The sequence below is a fragment of the Homo sapiens genome, chromosome 12 (genome assembly GCF_000001405.40).
Source record: "Homo sapiens chromosome 12, GRCh38.p14 Primary Assembly".
NCBI lineage: Eukaryota > Metazoa > Chordata > Mammalia > Primates > Hominidae > Homo > Homo sapiens.
Window position 1 is genome coordinate 6894784 of NC_000012.12, and position 19553 is coordinate 6914336.

A 19553-nucleotide genomic window follows, 5' to 3' on the forward strand; every position below is an offset into this window, starting at 1 on the left:
CTTACTCCATACACTTATCATCTTCAGCTTCCTAAACTTTCAAGATTCTTCTACCTTCACTGAATCATATGCTAGATATATACCATATATATGCATTTGCTATCTATTTTAAGAATTTAAAGTAACATTTTAGAATTTATTGAGTTTTTCTACTTCTTTCTATCCAATAGTCTATTCTATTATTAGAAACAATAAGGTGGGCTGGGTGCGGTGGCTCATGCCTGTAGTCCCAGCACTTCAGGAGGCTGAAGCAGACAGATATCTTGAGCCCAGGAACTCAAGACCAGCCTGGGCAACATGGCAAAACCTCGTCTCTACAAAACACACACAGACACACACACACACAAATTACCCAGGCATGGTGGTGTGTGCTTGTAGTCCCAGCTGCTTGGGAGGCTGAGGTAGGAGGATTGGTTGAGCTTGGGTTGTTGAGGCTGCAGTGAGCTGTGATCACACCACTGCACTCCAGCTTGAGTGACAGACCAAGACCCTGTTTCTAAAGGAAAAGAAGGCCTGGGTCGGGCGCAGTGGCTCACGGCTATAATCCCAGCACTTTGGAAGGCTGAGGCGGGCGAATCACCTGAGGTCAGGAGTTCGAGACCAGCCTGGCCAACATGGTGAAACCCCGTTTCTACTAAAAATACAAAAATTAGCTGGGTATGGTGGGAGCACCTGTAATCCCAGCTACTCGGGAGGCTGAGGCAGGAGAATCGCTTGATTCTCCGCTGGGAGGCGGAGGTTGCAGTGAGCCGAGATCGCGCCATTGCACTCCAGCCTGGGGGACAAAAGCGAGACTTCGTCTCAAAAAAAAAAAAAAAAAAAAAAGAAGGCCGGGCATGGTGGTTCATGCCTGTAATCCCAGCATTTTGGAAGGCTGAGGCAGGAGGATCTCTTGAGCCCAGGAATTGGGGAGTAGCCCAAGGAACATAGTGAGACCCTATCTCTACAAAACAATTTTAAAAATTAATTATCCAGGCATGGTGGCATGCCCGGTAACTAGGTGATTCTAGTTACTTGGGAGGCCAAGGCATTACTTGAGCCCAGGAGTTTGAGGCTGCAATGAGCCATGTTCCCAAACTGCACTCCAGTTTGAGTGACAAAGCAAGACCCTGTCTCAGGCCAGGGGTGGTGGCTAACGCCTGTAATCCCAACATTTTAAGAGGCTGAGGCAGGTGGATTGCTTGAGCCCAGGAGTTTGAGATTAGCCTGGCCAACATGGCAAAACCCCAAATCTACTACTACTACTACTACTACTACTACTACTACTACTACTACTACTAAAAAACTGGCCAAGGTGGTGTGCGCCTGTAATCCCAACTACTCAGGAGGCTGAGGCACGAGAATCGCTTGACGGGAGCAGAGGTTGCAGTGAGCCGAGACTGCACCACTGCACTCCAGCCTGGGTGACACAGTGAGACTCTGTCTTAAAAAACAAAAAAGACCCTGTCTCAAAAAAAAAAAGAAATAATAAGGTGGCAGGATATATGATATATAGAGAAAAATCAATACTAAAATCAATAGTTATGACAGTATGACATTGGAGCAGCAGTAGACATAGAGATCAATGGAAGATAATAGGGTCCAGGAATAAAACCCATATATATGATAAAGATGGCATTTCAAGTCAGTAGAGAAGAATGGGATTAATCAATAAATGATGTAGAAAAAAATTGGCTCCCCTTTTGGCTCCCCTACCTCACACTATATACCAACCTATTCTAGATGTAATAAAGACCGAAAAATATTTAAATACCATCAAAATAGTCAAGAGAATATTTTCATAACCTTAGGGGTGAAAAAGGCTTTTCTGAACCAGACCCACAGTTCAGAAGCCTTATGCAAGAGACTGGCAGTTGGGACTACACACAAATGTCAAATTTCTGTAAGGTGACACTCTATAAGCAAAGTGAAATGACAAAGTAGGAAAATATTTTCAAAATGTATAAGAGACAAGAAGTTAATGTGTCTGTGTGGTGGTTTAAAAATATGTCCATGAATTCTGTGATACTCTTCCTTTTAAGAGGTGAGCCTTATTCCCCTCCACTTGAGTGTGGGCTGGACTTAGTGACTGGCGTCTAAAGAATAGCATAAAGTGGAAGTGATGGTGTGTGACTTTGGAGACTCAGTTAAAGGCAGAGTGGCTTTCATCTTGGTCTCTTTCTCTCTTGGATCACTTGCTCTGGGGGAAGCCAGCTGCCATGTTATGAGGGCACTCAGGCCCTGTGGAGAAGTCCAGATGGTAAGGAACTGTCTTGCCAACAACCATGTGAGTAAGCCATCTTGGAAGCAAATCCTTCAGCCCCAGCCAAGCCTTCAGATAACGGCAGCTCCAGCCAGCCGTTTGACTGGAACCCACCTGGGCCACTCTTGGATTCCTGAGAAACTGAGATAATACATTTTGCTGTTTTAAGCTGCTACGTTTTGAGATGATTTGTTATACAGCTATAATCAGTTAACAGTTGCACTTGGCTGGCTGGGCATGGTGGCTCATGCCTGTAACCCCAGCACTTTGGGAGGCCAAGGCAGGAGAATCGCTTGAGCCCAGGAGTTCCAGACCAGTCTCTGCAACATAGTGAGACTCCATCTTTACAAAAAAAAAGTTAAAAATTAGCTGGGCATGGTGGGGCGCACCTGCAGTCCCAGCTACTTAGGAGGCTGAAGTGGGAGGGTGGCACGTGCTTGTAATTCCAGCTACTCGGGAGGCTAAGGCACTAGAATCGCTTGAACCCAGGAAGCAGAGGTTGCAGTGAGCCGAGATCTTGCCATTTCACTCCAGCCTGGGTGACAGAGCAAGACTCCATCTCAAAAAAAAAAAAAAAAATCACCCTGTTAAGTATAAGCTCTGACAAATGCATAGTCCTATCATAATCAAGACATAGAACAATCGTAGAATCACTCTAACAGTTCCCTCAAGATCAAGATCAAGAAGTCAACCCCTTCTTGATCCCAAGGAACTCATTGACCTGTTTTTCTGTCAAAAGGGTCAAATTTAATCACTAAAATGATCTACAGTACTATGGAAAAATTTGTAAGCATAGAAAACACACAAACCAACTCTTTTTAAAAAGTAAGATATTTTAAAAGTTTACCATACCAACAGAATGAAGATAGCTTCACATTTTACTACAGATGTGCAGATATTCATCAAAGTCCACCATTGTCATATATATGGCTCAACAGTAATATTTAAGAATATACTGGCCAGGGCCGGGAGTGGTGGCTCACGCCTGTAATCCCAGCACTTTGGGAGGCTGAGGCGGGCGGATCATGAGGTCAGGAGATTGAGACCATCCTGGCCAACATGGTGAAATCCCATCTCTACTAAAAATAGAAAAATTAGCTGGGTGTGGTGGTGCGTGCCTGTAATCCCAGCTACTCAGGAGGCGGAGGCAGGAGAATCACTTGAACCAGGGAGTCGGAGGTTGTGGTGAGCCGAGATCACTCCACTGCACTCCAGCCTGGTGACAGAGCGAGACTCTGTCTCAAAAAGAAAAAGAAAAAATACTGGCCAGGCACGGTGGCTCATGCCTGTAATCCCAGCACTTTGGGAGGCTGAGGCGGGTGGATCACCTGAGGTCAGGAGTTCGAGACCAGCCTGGCCAACATGGTGAAACTCCATCTCTACTAAAAATACAAAAATCAACCAGGTGTGGCGTCACACACCTCTAATCCCAACTACTCGGGAGGCTGAGGCAGGAGAATCATTTGAACCCAGGAGGCGGAGGTTGCAGTGAGCTGAGATTGTGCCATTGCACTCCAGCCTGGGTGACAAGAGAGAAACTCTGTCTCAAAAAAAAAAAAAAAAAATACTGTAAAATAACAATCTTTAGAAGAGTTAGAATAATGTTATTTTTGTTTGTTTTTTTCGAGACAGGGTCTTGCTCTGTCATCCAGGCTGGAGTGCAGTGACGTAATCTTGGCTCACTGCAACCCCTGTCTCTCAGGTTCAAGAGATTCTTGTACATTAGCCACCCAAGTAGCTGGGATTACAGGTGTGTGCCACCATGCCAGCTAATTTATTTGTATTTATTTATTTATTTATTTATTTATTGAGACAGAGTCTTACTCTGTCACCCAGGCTGGAGTGCAGTGGCGTGATCTCAGCTTACTGCAATCTCTGCCTCCTGGGTTCAAGCGATTATCCTGCCTCAGCCTCCCAGTAGCTGGAATTACAGGCATGTGCCACCACCACACCCGGCTATTTTTTTTTTTTGGGGGGGGGGGTAGATATGGGGTTTTGCCATGTTGGCCAGGCTGGTCTCGAACTCCTGACCTCGTGATCTGCCCGCCTCAGCCTCCCCAAGTGCTGGGATTACTGTGTGAGTCACTGTGCCTGGCCAATTTTTGTATTTTAGTAGAGAAGGGGCTTCACCATTTTGGCCAGGCTGGTCTCAAACTCCTAAACTCAGATGATCAGCCCGCCTCAGCCTTACAAAGTGCTGGGATTACAGGCGTGAGCCACTGTACCCAGCCCTCAAAAGCTATTTTTTGACATATTAAGATTGGCAAAGTACGTACCATTTGACCCAGAAATTCTACCTTCTAAGAATGTACGCCGGGCACGGTGGCTCCTGCCTGTCTGTAATCCCAGCACTTTGGGAAGCTGAGGCGGGCAGATGGCTTCAGTCCAGGAGTTCAAGACTAGCCTGGGCAATATAGAGAAATACCCGTGTCTACAAAAATTGCAAAAAATTAGCTAGGCATGGTGACATGCGCCTGTAGTCCCAGCTACCTGGGAGGCTGAGTTAGGAGAATCACCTGAGCTTAGGATGTTGGGGCTGCAGTGAGCCATGATGATTGCACCACTGCACTCCAGCCTGGGAAAGAAAAAAAAAAGTTTCCCACATAGTCATATTACTCAATGCGTAGTCCATGAATCAAGAGCATCAGCATCACTTGAGAGGTCTACATTTCAATGAGATCCTCAAGCAATTTCTATACACGTTAACATTTGAGGAATACTGCTACAGAGTACTCATGCAGAAGAGCAAAGATATATCTATGGGGATTTAAACAGCGTTATTTGTAATATGGACAATTTTTAAAAAAAAGTTAATATCCATCAATAGGGAACAGTTAAAAGTCTAGCCAGGCTTGGTGGCACACAGCTGTAGTCCCAGCTACTTGAGATGCTGAGGCAGGTCGATGGCTTGAGCCCAGGAGTTTGAGGCTGTAGTGCACAATGATTGTGGGCAGGAAACAGGACCTCGACTTTGGACCAGATTCAAGACTGGCTGAAACAGGGAAGAGGCACAGAAAGCACTTCTCCGTAAGACACGCCCACCAGCACGACAGTTTACCATTGCCATGGCGACACCCAGAAGTTACTGCCTTTTTCCATAACAACCTGGAAGTTACCACCCCTTTTCTGGAAATTTCTGAATAACCCACTCTTTAATTTGCATGTAATTAAAAGTCAATATAAATGTGACTGCAGAAGTTTCCCTGAGTTGCTGCTCTCCACACACTGCCTAGAGGGTGGCCTTGCTCGGTAGGAGCAGTCATGGGGCTGTAAAACTGCATCCTCAATAAAGCTGTATCTTCTACCACATGCTCAGGAAAGAACCATGAGCCTTATTGGGCTAATCGCCAATTTGGGTGTTCACCTGCCCTGCATCAGTTGTGCCTGTGAAAAACTACTGCACTCCAGCTGTGACCGGTTGAGGGTAATTGTCCAGGTTCTTGGTGTTTTGCACAAAGAATTCGACAAAACACACAAACAAAGCAAGGCAATGAAAGCAGAGATTTTTTTTGTTTGTTTTTTTAATTACCGTGCCCGCGAGACGGAGTCTTGCTGTGTCGCCCAGGCTGGAGTGCAGTGGCACGATCTCGGCTCCTGGGTTCAAGCAATTCTCCTGCCTCAGCCTCCTGAGTAGCTGGGATTACAGGCTTGCACCACCACGCCCCGCTAATTTTTGTATTCTTAGTAGAGATGGGGTTTCACCATGTTGGCCAGGCTGATCTCCAACTCTTGACCTCTTGATCCACCAAAAGCAGAGATTTATTTTAAAGGAAAGTACAGTCCACAGAGTGGGAGCAAGCTCCAGCAAGTGGCTCAAGAGCATTGGTGACAGAATTTTCTGGGGTTTAAATACAATCTAGAGGTTTCCCATTGGTTCACCCTATGCAAATGAAGTAGTGGCCGACTGCCAGTCTAATTGTGGGAGGGGACCAATCAAAATGAAGAGAGTAGGCCTGCTATCAGTCTGACTGGTTGTGAGAGGGGACCAATCAGACGTACTTTCATTTTTCAAATGCCATACAGAGAAAGGAGGGTTTGAAAAGGGAGTACTCTCTGATATTCAGTCAGCATGATTCGGCCTTAGATTCCCTGCCTCCGGACCCTATTCTCCTGCCTCTCAGCCTGGACAATGTAGTGAGACTCTGTCTCTAGAAAAACACAAGAAAGTTCCGGGCGCGGTGGCTCACGCCTGTAATCCCAGCACTTTGGGAGGCCGAGGAGGGCAGATCACGAGGTCAGGAGATCGAGACGATCCTGGCTAACACAGTGAAACCCCGTCTCTACTAAAAATACAAAAAATTAGCCAGGTGTGGTGGTGGGCGCCTGTAGTCCCAGCTACTCTGGAGGCTGAGGCAGGAGAATGGCGTGAACCCGGGAGGTAGAGCTTGCAGTGAGCCGAGATCACGCCACTGCACTCCAGCCTGGGAGAGAGAGCCAGACTCCATCTCAAAAAAAAAAAAAACAACACCAAAAAAAAAAAAAAAAAAAGGAAAAACGCAAGAAAGAAAGGAAAGTGGTAGTATATCCACATAATGGAAGACTAGACAACTATGAGAAAAAGAGGTAGATTTATGCTTAGTGACATGAAAGAAGCCCAAGACATATTAGAATTGAATAATTAGAAGAAAAAAACCCTAAACTAATCTAAAAATCTTTTTTTCTTTTTTTTTGAGACCGAGTCTCACTCTGTTGCCCAGGCTGGAGTGCAGTGGTGCGATGTCAGCACACTGCAATCTCCGCCTCCCAGGTTCAAGCGATTCTCCTGCCTCCGCCTCCGGAGTAGCTGGGATAACAAACGCCCGCCACCACGCCCGGCGAATTTTTGTATTTTCAGTAGAGACAGGGTTTCGCCATGTTGGCCAGGCTGGTGTTAAACTCCTGACCTCAGGTGATCCGCCCACCTTGGCCTCCCAGAGTGCTGAGATGATAGGTGTGAGCCAAAGCGCCTGGCTTTTTTTTTTTTTTAGACAGAGTCTCGATCTGTTGCCCAGGCTGGAGTGCAGTAGCGTGATCTCGGCTCACTGCAACCTCTGCCTCCCGGGTTCAAGTGATTCTCGTGTCTCAGCCTCCCAAGTAGCTGAAACTACAGGCACAAGCCACAACGCCTGGCTAATTTTTTTTCTTTTTTTGAGACGGAGTTTCACTCTTGTTGCCCAGGCTGGAGTGCAGTGGCGCGATCTCAGCTCACTGCAACCTAGGCCTCCTGTATTAAAGCGATTCTGCTGTCTCAGCCTCCCGAGTAGCTGGGATTACAGGTGCGAGCCACCACCCCAGCTAATTTTTTGTATGTAGAGACGGGGTTTCACCATATTGGCCAGACTGGTCTCAAACTCCTGACCTCAGGTGATCCACCCGCCTAGGCCTCCCAAAATGCTGGGATTACAGGCGTGAGCCACCACGCCCAGCCTAAATATTACTTTTATAATTGAAAGAGACTCTATCTAGACCAGCCGATGGGGGAAAAATATCAAGGATGTTGTGGAGTATCTAGCTCTCATTACACAGTGTAACTTCAGTCCTTGCCAACTAAACACGAAATAAAACCTTCAATAGCTCCCCACAGCTTTCAGGATAAAGTCCAGATCCTTCAGTGTGATCCAAGTCTGTTTACTGCTTCTACCATATTCCAACCCCCGACTGCACCTACTGTTCCAGCCAGCAGAACCACCTGCTTTCTTTGCACAGGCATTGAGCTCTTTCTTCTCCAAGCATTACCACAGGTGATTCCTGCCTCTGAAATCTCTGCCCCGAATATATGATATCATGTATATGCATATACTATACAATGATCCCTAGCACTTAGTAAAAGCTCTATAAATGTTGGGTATGATTATTATAACATGTCTCATTATATTGAATTACTTGTGTACTTAATCTTGTCACTGAACTGTACACCTCTTGAAGATAAAAGATAAGGACTTCTGTGCTTTACTGTCCCGGAGCACAGGGACAGATTAAGTGCTTAACAAAAGCATGGCAGGGCGCAGTGGCTCATGCCTATAATCCCAGCACTTTGGAAGGCCGAGGCGGGCGGATTGCTTGAGCCCAGGAGTTTGAGACTAGCCTGGGCAACATAGCAAAACCTTGTCTCTACAAAAAATACAAAAAAATTAACTTGGCATGGTGGCGCACACCTGTAGTCCCAGGTACCCAGGAGGCTGAGACGGAAGGACTGCTTGAGCCCAGGAGGTGGACGTTGCAGTGAGCTATGATTGCTCCACCGCACTCCATCCTGGGCGACAGAGGGAAACTCTATTTCAAAACAAAAATAAAAACAAAATAACAAAAGTGTATGTTCAAGGACACCTTCCTAACCCTTACATCACAACTTTTCTTCCCATCTAATGTGTCTTCCTCTTTCTTCTTGGCCAAGGAAACTCATATCCATTTCTTTTGACTACATCAAACCACATGGATTTTTCCCTTCTCCACACTCCAACAATACAATAACTTTCATTTGTATAGCACATCTCACTCTTCAGAGTGTTCATATTTATTATTTCTTTTTCCTCACAGCAACCCCAGTACCAAGGACACAGGCCAGGGGTGGGGAGGAGCAGGAAAATGTTTACTAAGGGTCAACTAAGTGCAAGGCGATTTACCCACATTATCTCTTTTAATCCCTTAACAATCCTTACAGGTGGACGTTTTAATAATCCCCATTTCACGACTGTGGAAATTAGACCTCAGTAAGATTTCATAACCTGCTGAAGGACACACAGGTATTAAGTAGTAGAGATGGGTTTTGAAGCTGGTGTCTCTGACTTTAAAGTCCCTACTGGTTCCATGACACCAAGTAAACAGATTTGCCTATTAACCACATTCCTCCAAGCTGCCCTGGGCAGGAGGTAATATAATACTTCCTGATTTCTTGCCCACCACATCTTCCACCAGACCACTTTGCCGTTATATAAAGTCTGTGGGCACAATTTAACAATGAATCACATGCCATCTTACCTGGTTACCTCATTGTTTCATTTACATTAGATTCCACAACAAGATTGGTAACATCCCCCTTTCCCCAGGCAGGAATTGTGTCATCTTAACCTCCCTGAGCCTCAGTATCCTCTTCTTTCAAATGTCTATCTTACAGGACTGTTGCAGAGATTAAATATCAGTTGTAAAGATGTTTGACATAATGTCTCGCACAAACTCTCCAGAAATATTTATTGCATCTCAACATCTTTTTCATCTCCTTCAACATGTCAGACAGGCCTGAGTGCCTGGGTTTGGCTATGCCAGTTCCTGTTGATTACTGATATAACAACGTTGGATCAGGAGTATTTTAGTGGGCAGATGTTGAATTTTCTGCCTTCCACCCACTAAAAGGTTTGCATCAAACCAGTCCAGGATAACTCATACTGGATCCCTGTCAGTTGATATAGTTAAGCTAATTCTACAGATAACAAAGAGTCTTGGGTACGTTTAGCTAGCAAATGCAGATCTGCCAAGACTCCAACCCAGTTCTTAAGGTATCTGGGTCTGGACTCCTTCCGCTCCACCAAGCCACCTTCCAAAGGTCTACCTGAAAATAACTAATGAGCAGAAACTATAGGGGGAAGGGGAAAAGACCCCTTATCTTGGTGTTTCTTGCTTTTCCTCGCAGCCCCGCCCTTTTTGCTTCGAAGGACGAGTTTTTCCTGAATTCACAATACTTTTGCATTGAAGATGTCCGGTCCCTTTAAGGTCTTGGGTGACGTAATGACTAGCCCCGCCCCCTCTCTTCTCGCTTCTCAGCCCTGCCCACTTCTTTTTGTCCTCAGCCAATTAGCGGCCCAACGCCCCTTCCGCGCCTCATCCGGGTTCCCGGGACGGGAAAGTGGCGTGGTAACCAGGCAACTACTGATCAATCCCCTCCCCGGCTGATTTGCGCATCAGGTAGTCGCCGCTCTACTCTCAACGGTGGCGAGCTGCAGTTGCCAAGTGCCCCGTCCCCGTTGCCATAACAGCAGTACACAACCCCTCCTTCCCCTCGCCCGCTTGCTAAACAGTCCTTCCCTCTCGGGACCAAGGGCCTCTCCAGAACTGCTTCTGATTGAGCAGAAACAGGGTCTGAGCCCCTTTGCTAAGGCGAATTGAGTGGGAGGGTTGGAGACTGCGCTTTAGGCTGGTGTACCAGAGGGCCCAAGGAAATTGGCCCAGTGGGGAGGGAAAAGTAGAAGAAATGAATGGAGCAGGGATTACGGATGGCGCAATGGGAGCTGAGAGGAGAGGAGGAGGAATTGGTAGGGAAGATTGGAGAGCATGGCTTAAGGGGGAGGTGGGAAGAATGGGGGAGAGGGAAGCCCAGGAAATAGGGACACCCGGCTGCTGGAGGAGAGCTGGAGTCACTGTGAAGGACAGGAAAGGCCTGGGGGTGTGGGTGACATCCTGAAGGGAGGGGGTCCTCAGTGGAAAGTGTGAAGTGGGAGTTGAGAATCAAAATGAGATGTTCACAGGGATAAGGAAAGAAGCCTAGAGTTGGTGGGTCAGAAGTCATGGGGGTGATGGGAGTGGCACGTGTCAATGACGATGAAGGAGCTGAAGGCTGGCAGAAGCTGATGAGACCTTCTTTTTCAGGAGGAGGACTGAGCTTATCTGACTCCAGAGCTTTCAGGAGGGAAGAAAGATGTCAGATGAAGATGATCTAGAAGACTCTGAGCCAGACCAGGATGATTCTGAGAAAGAAGAGGACGAGAAGGAGACAGAGGAGGGGGAGGACTACAGAAAAGAGGGGGAAGAGTTCCCTGAGGAAGTGAGAGCCTGGACAAGGAGGGGTCCTAGGGCTGAAGGAGGGGGTTGGGCAGGGGAGAGACACCTTACTCCACTTCTACCTGCAGTGGCTGCCCACCCCCCTCACGGAGGACATGATGAAGGAAGGGCTTTCTCTGCTCTGTAAGACAGGCAATGGGCTGGCTCATGCTTATGTCAAGCTGGAGGTTAAAGAGAGGTGCGTTTTGGGGGGACCAGATGAGGACTGTGAGACTGTAGGGCCCCTATCTCCTTTCCCACTGTCATTCCTGGGTGTTCTGGTTGAGAGTTTGACTCTTCTCATGCCTAGTGGAAAGGGAAGGACAGAATTTACTTTTCAGGAGCTCTGAGACTTCTCCTATCAAAGCTGACCTGGGGAATTGGAGATTGAGAGTATATGGGGGGATTCCTGCTGGATTCCCTTATTTGTCTTTCAGAGTATGGGTTCTCTGTCCTTCACAGACACAGGTCTCTCTGCCCACTGTTAAGAACCCACCTACCTTCTCTTACCCTTCTTCTCCCCTACCATCTGTTGCCCATTCTTCTCCCCATTATAAGCCATCTCCATATTGCCTTCTGCTTTAGCAACTCTGCCAGTCCTCACTGGGTGCTTAACCCTAAACCTGGTTTCTTCTCCCTCTTCCATCTCCTAGGGACCTGACAGACATCTACTTGCTGCGCTCCTACATCCATCTGCGCTATGTGGATATTTCTGAGAACCACCTGACAGACCTGTCTCCACTCAACTACCTCACCCACCTGCTCTGGCTCAAGGCTGATGGCAATCGGCTGCGAAGTGCCCAGATGAATGAACTGCCCTACCTGCAGATTGCTAGTTTTGCTTATAACCAGATTACTGACACTGAAGGCATCTCTCATCCTCGTCTTGAAACCCTGAATCTCAAAGGTGGGTCTTTAGGATGGGCTACACAAGATTCTTTCCTTCCTAGCCTGAGGCCAACAGAAGTGGGCAGTATGGTCCTTGGCTAGGGCACATGGCAGTCTGCATTCATTCATTCATTCAGATACGCAATATGATTCATTATGACAGTTCTACATGCTAACCATATAGGATCCAATAAGACAAGGAACGTCCCTATTCTCATATAGCTTATATTCTAATTGGGAGAGACAAACAAGTAACAACAAACACAGTAAGTACATTCATGTAGCATGTTAAAAGGAGACAAGTGCCTTGGAAAAAATAGATCAGAGTAAGAGGAATGGGGGACACAGGTGGCAATGTCAAATAGATTGGTTAGGACAACCATCACTGAGAAGATGACATTTGAGCAAAGAATTGAAGAAGGAGAGGGAATTAGACATGTCAGCTGCTTCATTCACTCTTCAAAGGCTTAGGTGGATATGTCCATCAGGACCTTGGACTACCTACCACACCACTTGCCTCAGGGCTCCAGAGGTATTAAGTCTGGAGCTGGCCTTCCTCAGTATCTACCCTGCTTTGCGAATGGTAGGATGATTTAGAGGCTCCCCAAATTCAGGCTCTAATGCTGAGCATTTGGAGTGGCCCTTTGAGCTCTTGAAACCCTCCTCCCCAGGGAACAGCATCCACATGGTGACAGGTCTGGACCCCGAGAAGTTGATCAGCCTGCACACAGTGGAGCTTCGGGGGAACCAGCTGGAAAGCACCCTGGGAATCAATCTTCCTAAGCTGAAGAACCTCTACCTGGTAGCTCACTGGGTCAGAGGGTGGTGCAGGGAAGAGGGCACTGTCCTGGGGGTCAGGATGCCTGCTTTCTAGTAGGCTCAGCTACTAACTTCATCATTATGATAATAACTGGTATTATTATCAAGACCATAGTTGGTTCCAGATGCTGTGGAGATACACAGCCACCTAGCAGGGCTGATAATATATAATGTGTGGATAATACAGAGATAATTTACCTTGATACAGGTAGTAGCAAAATGGACCATAATTGAGGTACAAACATCAGTCTGTGGAAATGTTTTAGGAAAACCCTCCTCTCAGACTGGGTTTTTCTTCAGCTCTTACACTACCACCACAACAATCATCAACATACGACTTCCGGGACCAAAGGTGTGGGGGTTTCTCCCCATACACCAAGTAGTAGACACCAGCTGGGTGATCTCTAATTCGATTCACTGTCTACCTGGGGATGGCATCAAATCCCACAGATTGAGGGCTCGGTTCCCAAGAGTGACCCCTACACCGCCCACATACACCAGTTGCAAGTCCAAGCCTCCAGAACTTCTGACACACCAGCTTCAACATGAAGCTGGTTCCCATGACCTCTTCTCTGGATTTAATTAATTTTCTAGAGTGGTTTTTATTAGTTTATTGCAAGGGCAAAGGATACAGATGAAGAGATGCTTAGGGCGAAGTATGGGGATATGGGTGCAGTGCTCCATGCCCTTCCCAGATGCATCACCCTCCAAAAGCTTTCACGTGTTCAGCTACCCAGAAGCTCTCTGGACCCAGTCCTCTTGGCTTTTCATGGAAGCTTCATGATCTTAGTATTCCTTCCCCCAGGAAACTGGGGAGGCTGTCGCTGGGGAGGGTCTTAAGAACCACAATCAGGCCGGGCGCGGTGGCTCATGTCTGTAATCCCAGCACTTTGGGAGGCTGAGGCGGGCGGATCACCTGAGGTCCGGAGTTCGAAACCAGCCTGGCCAACATGGCGAAACTCTGTCTCTACTAAAAATACAAAAATTAGCCCAGTGTGCTGACATGCGCCTGTAATCCCAGCTACTAGGGAGGCTGAGGCAGCAGAATGGCTTGAACCCAGAAGGCAGAGTTTGCAGTGAGCTGAGATCACGCCACTGCAATCCAGCCTGGGAGACAGAGCAAGACTCCATCTCAAAAAAAAAAAAAAAAAAAAAAAACCAAAGAAAAACACGGTGAAACCCCGTCTCTACTAAAAATACAAAAAAAAAAAATTAGCTGCGTGTGGTGGCAGGCACCTGTAGTCCCAGCTACTCGGGAGGCTGAGGCAGGAGAATGGCGTGAACCCAGGAGGCGGGGCTTGCAGTGAGCCGAGATTGCGCCACTGCACTCCAGCCTGGGCAACAGAGCTAGACTCTGTTTCAAAAAAAAAAAAAGAAAGAATCACAGTCAGAAAGAGGGAGTGGGGGGAAAGATTAGCGCTTTCTCTTGGAGCAGGTGAAAAGACGGCTGGAGAAGTTCCTGAGACCTGCCCCTGAGGCCCAGCACACCCAACTTTATAACAAAAGACTGCAAGAAGGGCTATTATGGGGGTTATAAGCTAGGGACTGTGGATGAAAACCGATATATATATTATATATTATATAATTATATATTATATATAAATATATATTATATATTATATAATTATATATTATATATAATATATAATTACATATAATATATAATATATAATTATATATTATATATTATATATTATATATAAAATATATAATATATAATTATATATTATATATAATATATAATTATATATAATATATATAATTAGATATAATATATAATTATATATTATATATAATTATATATAATATATTATATATAATTATATATAATACATAAATATATATAATAGTATATATTATATATAATATATATAATATATAAATATATATAATAGTATATTATATATAATATATTTTATATAATATATAAATATTATATATAATAGTATATTATATATAATATATAAATATTATATATAATAGTATATAATATATAATATATAATATATATTTTATATATTATATAATATATTATATATTATATATATAATAACTCCACAGGAAGCCACTGAAATATTTAGTCTTTTAGACTCTTAAGCTTCGTTATTCTGGGATGGTGCTGATGCCAATCCTCAGTGGTGGCCTGGGGGCTCCTGGGCCGGGTAGGGGTGGGTTGAAGCATCTCCTCCATCCCAAGTGGCTTTGATGGGGCGAATGGTAGAGGGTTACTGCTGACCTTTCTCTGGGATGGCAGCTTCTCCTGAACTTCTTTACTTTCTATACTGATCTCTACTCACCCCCACTCCTTTCTTCCACTCCTCCCTCTCTACCTCTTGGATTTCCTCTTTTGCTTTATCTCATTCTGACTTCTCTTTCTTCCCTATCCCTGCTCCCTCTCAATCAATCCACTGTGCCCTGGGGGTCTAGGCCCAAAACATGCTGAAGAAGGTGGAAGGCTTGGAGGATCTGAGCAATCTCACCACCTTGCATCTTCGAGACAACCAGATTGACACCCTGAGTGGCTTCTCCAGAGAAATGAAATCATTGCAGTACCTCAACCTGAGGTATGCACCCTCTCCAAGCCCCACCTTGCCCCTACCCCTGACCAGGTGCAGCTTTTGAGTCTGTGTTCTTCCCTGGCCCAATCCCCCAGTCCTAGCCCACAGCTGGATTCTCAAGGAAAGCCCGGCTTTCCTTCCTTTCTTCTGCACTGAGTTGCAACACTAAATCCCTTATAGCTTGTGACCCCTGAATTTTTATTCATTCAATCCACAATTATTGAGAATGTGCTATGTGCCAGGCCTTGTGCTGTGTTTTGGGGACATTTAAAGCAATCAGAGGCTGGGCATGGTGGTTCATGCCTGTACTCCCAGCACTTTAGGAGGAAGGATCACTTGAGGCCAGGAGTTCAGGACCAGCCTGGGCAACCTAGTGAGACCATGTTTCTACAGAAGTGAAAATAATGGCCCGGCATGGTGGCTCACACCTGTAGTTCTAGCACTTTGGGAAGCCGAAGTGGGCAGATCGTTGGAGCCTAGGAGTTCAAGACCAGTCTGGGCAACATGGCAAAATCCCATCTCTACCAAAAATACAAAAATTAGCCAGGCATGGTGACAGGCACCTGTAATCCCAGCTACTCAGGAGACTTAGGCGGGAGGATCGCTGGAGCCTCGAGGTGGAGTTTGCAGTGAGCTGAGATAAAGCCGCTGCACTCCAGCCTGGGTGACAGAGCCAGACCCTGCCTCAAAAACAAAACAAAAATAAAATATTAAATAAAAATTAAAATATTAAATTAAAAATAAAAATTAACTGAGCCTGGTGGTGCACACCTGTGGTTTCAGCTACTCAGGAGGCTGAGGTTGGAGGATCACTTGAGCCCAGGAGTTCAAGGTTGCAGTGAGCCATGATTGTGCCACTGCACTCCAGCCTGGGTGACAGAGTGAGCTGTCTCTAAAAGAAAGAAAGGAATCAGAGGTGATTCCTGTTCCTAAGGGGCTCACAGTCTGGCTCCAACTCTTTTTTCCTCACCCTATCCTATATAAGTTTCCACTGCCCTTCTCCATTTCCTCGGTCCCAATTCACCTTCCCATTTCCTGCCTCTCTTCTCCTGAGCCCCACCTGTAAGGGATGACCTTTTTACTGATTAAAAAAACACAAGATGTGCTCAGATTTGAGGAGAGAAGGACATTTGTAAGAAAATCTTTTGGTAGAAAGGCACTGAAGATCAGCAACTCTTGTCGGATGGAGGACTTTATGTGTGTTTATTTCAGCAAACATGTAAGGAAACTGCCTCTTTCCTTAGTCAACAAGACCAGATTCTTGAGCTGGTAATGGAAAGAGCATCTCCAAGTAGGGAGAGGTGGTTGCATCTGGAAGCCCCAACTCTCATCCTGACCCCCTGGGCATTCTCTTATTCATGAACTCTGCCACACGGATCTGGTGGGGTGTGTATCTGTGCCATCTTCCTGTTAATGATCTAGACAGGCATGATGGACCCTTCCTGAGTGGCTATTAAATGGGGATGTTTTGAGAGTAAGTCGGGTGTGTGTGTGGAGGGGGGTGAGGGTGTCTCAATGATTGGCAGGTGCCTCTGGGGCCAGAGATGCTAAGCATCCAACAATGTATGGCAGAGTCCAGTACAAAGTTCCTGTAGCCCTCCTGGTGAGAAACACTGCATGAGGCTCAGCACGACCATGAGATCAGGCTGAAACACTTAAATAGATTTCATAAAAGCTTAAAGCCAGAACATGAAAATAAATAAAATTCCAGGCATGGTGGCTCACGCCTGTAATCCCAGCACTTTGGGGGGGCCAAGGCAAGAGGACTGCTTGAGGCCAGGCGTTCAAGACAAACCTGGGCAACATAGTGAGACCCAGTCTCTACAAAAAATTTAAACATTAGCCAGGTGTGGTGGCACATGCCTGGAGGTACTTAGGAAGCTAAGGTGAGAGGATCACTTGAGCCCAGGAATTCAAGGCTGCAGTGAGCTATGATCATGCCACTGCACCCCCAACCGGGGTGACATAGTGAGACCCTGTCTCAATAAAAATAAAATAAAAACAGAGTATCATATAATGAGGCACATTAGGAGATGAAGTTTATTCTTCAGGTTGGGAGGCTCCAACCCATCCATAGCCTTAGGTTCTCTTTGTGGAGAGCACGAACCGAGCATCCACCACCCTAAACTCCAGCTTAGATCCCAGTTCCTTGTCCACTGACCTAGGTCCTACAGGGTGGAGTGCAGTGGCTCGATCTCGGCTCACTGTAATCTCAAACTCCTGGGGTCAAGCAATCCCTCCTCCTCAGCTAAGTAGCAAGGACTACAGGTGTATGCCATCACGCCCAGCTAATTTTTTTATTTTTAGCTTTTGTACAGATGGGGTCTCGCTATGTTGCCCAGGCTGGGTCCTACCTTCTACCCTCCATTTAGGTGTGATCACAGAAAATGTCTCTCCCTGTGAGGAAAATTTGCCCTCTCCTCCCCAGCTACAAGACAGGGTTGTGGCCTAGCTTTGCTGCACCAAAAGAACACATGAATGTATTACAGAGTAGAATATGGCACTTAGGGATTCCTTGAAGGGCAGAAGCAGGACCAGAGCGGGGTCACACAGCACCTCTGCAGTAAATCTGGCAAGGCTTGGCAGGCCAGTCCTCACAGTGTTTCTAGGGACACTGGAACCCCGAGAGTCCCCCAGAGGCCCCATTCCTAGCAACTGGCAACCAAAGCCCATTATTCCTGCATGAACCCCTCCTGACCACACTGGCAGGGGCAACATGGTGGCCAACCTGGGGGAGCTGGCCAAGCTTCGAGACCTGCCCAAGCTGCGAGCGTTGGTGCTGCTTGATAACCCATGCACGGACGAAACCAGCTACCGCCAGGAGGCCCTGGTGCAGATGCCATACCTTGAACGCCTGGACAAGGAATTCTATGAGGAGGAGGAACGGGCTGAGGCTGATGTGATTCGACAGAGGCTGAAGGAAGAAAAGGAGCAGGAGCCTGAGCCCCAGCGTGACCTGGAACCCGAACAGTCATTGATCTAGCAGCAGTTCTAGCCTCTAAAGATAGTAAGGAAGCCTGCAGGGAGGCAGTGGGAGGAGGCCAAGGGCTGGGCAGGTAGGGGAAGAGGCAAGAGGGGAAGCTGCTGCAGAAGGAGGTGGGAGAGGAAAGCATCAGACAAGCAGGACCCTTAAAGAGAGGAGGGTTAGGAGTCAGGGAGAGGAAAAGGGACCCAAGGGGCCTGGGACCAGCTGAGAAAGACTTAGGAGGCCAGAAGAGTAAGTGAAAAGAATTGGGGTGGCAGGCAGAGGAGTTGGTGGGGGGTGGGGCAGCCATACCTGACACAGAGTGAAGTCGGCTAGGAAAGGACAGGTGTGGGTGCATGGTAGGGGCTGCAGGGGAAAGTTGGTGGTGTATGCAGCTGGACCTAGGAGAGAAGCAGGAGAGGAAGATCCAGCACAAAAAATCTGAAGCTAAAAACAGGACACAGAGATGGGGGAAGAAAAGAGGGCAGAGTGAGGCAAAAAGAGACTGAAGAGATGAGGGTGGCCGCCAGGCACTTTAGATAGGGGAGAGGCTTTATTTACCTCTGTTTGTTTTTTTTTTTTTTTTTTTTTTTTTTTTGCGAGGTAGTCTTGCTTAGTCTCCAGGCTGGAGTGCAGTGGCACAATCTCAGCTCACTGCAACTTCCACCTCCTGGGTTCAAGCAATTCTCCTGCCTCAGCCTCCCGAGTAGCTGGGACTACAGGCGCATGCAACCGCGCCTGGCTAATTTTTGTATTTTTAGTAGAAACGGGGTTTCACCACGTTAGCCAGGATGGTCTGGATCTCCTGACCTCGTGATCTGCCCGCCTCCGCCTTCCAAAGTGCTGGGATTACAGGGGTGAGCCACAGCGCCTGGTCCCTATTTACTTCTGTCTTCTACCTCCAGGAGATCAAAGACGCTGGCCTTCAGACCTGATCAGACTCCCAGGGGCAGCCACCACATGTATGACAGAGAACAGAGGATGCCTGTTTTTGCCCCAAAGCTGGAAATTCATCACAACCTGAGGCCCAGGATCTGCTCTGTGCCGGTCCTCTGGGCAGTGTGGGGTGCAGAATGGGGTGCCTAGGCCTGAGCGTTGCCTGGAGCCTAGGCCGGGGGCCGCCCTCGGGCAGGCGTGGGTGAGAGCCAAGACCGCGTGGGCCGCGGGGTGCTGGTAGGAGTGGTTGGAGAGACTTGCGAAGGCGGCTGGGGTGTTCGGATTTCCAATAAAGAAACAGAGTGATGCTCCTGTGTCTGACCGGGTTTGTGAGACATTGAGGCTGTCTTGGGCTTCACTGGCAGTGTGGGCCTTCGTACCCGGGCTACAGGGGTGCGGCTCTGCCTGTTACTGT

At 47.0% G+C, this 19553-nt stretch overlaps 1 protein-coding gene across 3 annotated transcripts, besides 2 other annotated features; it reads left to right on the forward strand.

Annotated features, from left to right (window-relative positions):
- Positions 1-10038: 10038 nt before the first annotated feature.
- On the forward strand, positions 10039-19446 carry LRRC23 (leucine rich repeat containing 23). 3 transcript variants are annotated; one of them, NM_001135217.2, is made up of 8 exons: positions 10039-10292; positions 10802-10976; positions 11062-11171; positions 11626-11879; positions 12532-12662; positions 15107-15243; positions 17947-18244; positions 19108-19446. In NM_001135217.2, the coding sequence occupies exons 2-7, from the start codon at positions 10851-10853 to the stop codon at positions 18218-18220; spliced, it is 1032 nt and encodes a 343-aa protein (NP_001128689.1). In that variant the 5' UTR covers positions 10039-10292; positions 10802-10850; the 3' UTR covers positions 18221-18244; positions 19108-19446. The 3 variants fall into 3 exon arrangements, with proteins under 3 accessions (NP_001128689.1, NP_964013.1, NP_008923.1); NM_201650.3 differs by having other exon boundaries at positions 10039-10120; NM_006992.4 differs by lacking the exon at positions 17947-18244 and having other exon boundaries at positions 10039-10120.
- Positions 19200-19269: an enhancer, noted in NCBI's record as "active region_5889". NCBI's record gives its function as "activates an Ori minimal core promoter by ATAC-STARR-seq in GM12878 lymphoblastoid cells {active_cell/tissue: GM12878}" and the evidence as "EXISTENCE:reporter gene assay evidence [ECO:0000049][PMID:35858748]".
- Positions 19300-19469: an enhancer, noted in NCBI's record as "active region_5890". NCBI's record gives its function as "activates an Ori minimal core promoter by ATAC-STARR-seq in GM12878 lymphoblastoid cells {active_cell/tissue: GM12878}" and the evidence as "EXISTENCE:reporter gene assay evidence [ECO:0000049][PMID:35858748]".

Coding starts and splice junctions, on each gene's coding strand:
- LRRC23 (NM_001135217.2), top strand. CDS start 10,851: ATGTCAGATGAAGATGATCTAGAAGACTCTGAGCCAGACCAGGATGAT. Junction 10,977..11,061: donor GGGAAGAGTTCCCTGAGGAA/GTGAGAGCCTGG, acceptor TTCTACCTGCAG/TGGCTGCCCACCCCCCTCAC. Junction 11,880..12,531: donor TGAAACCCTGAATCTCAAAG/GTGGGTCTTTAG, acceptor CCTCCTCCCCAG/GGAACAGCATCCACATGGTG.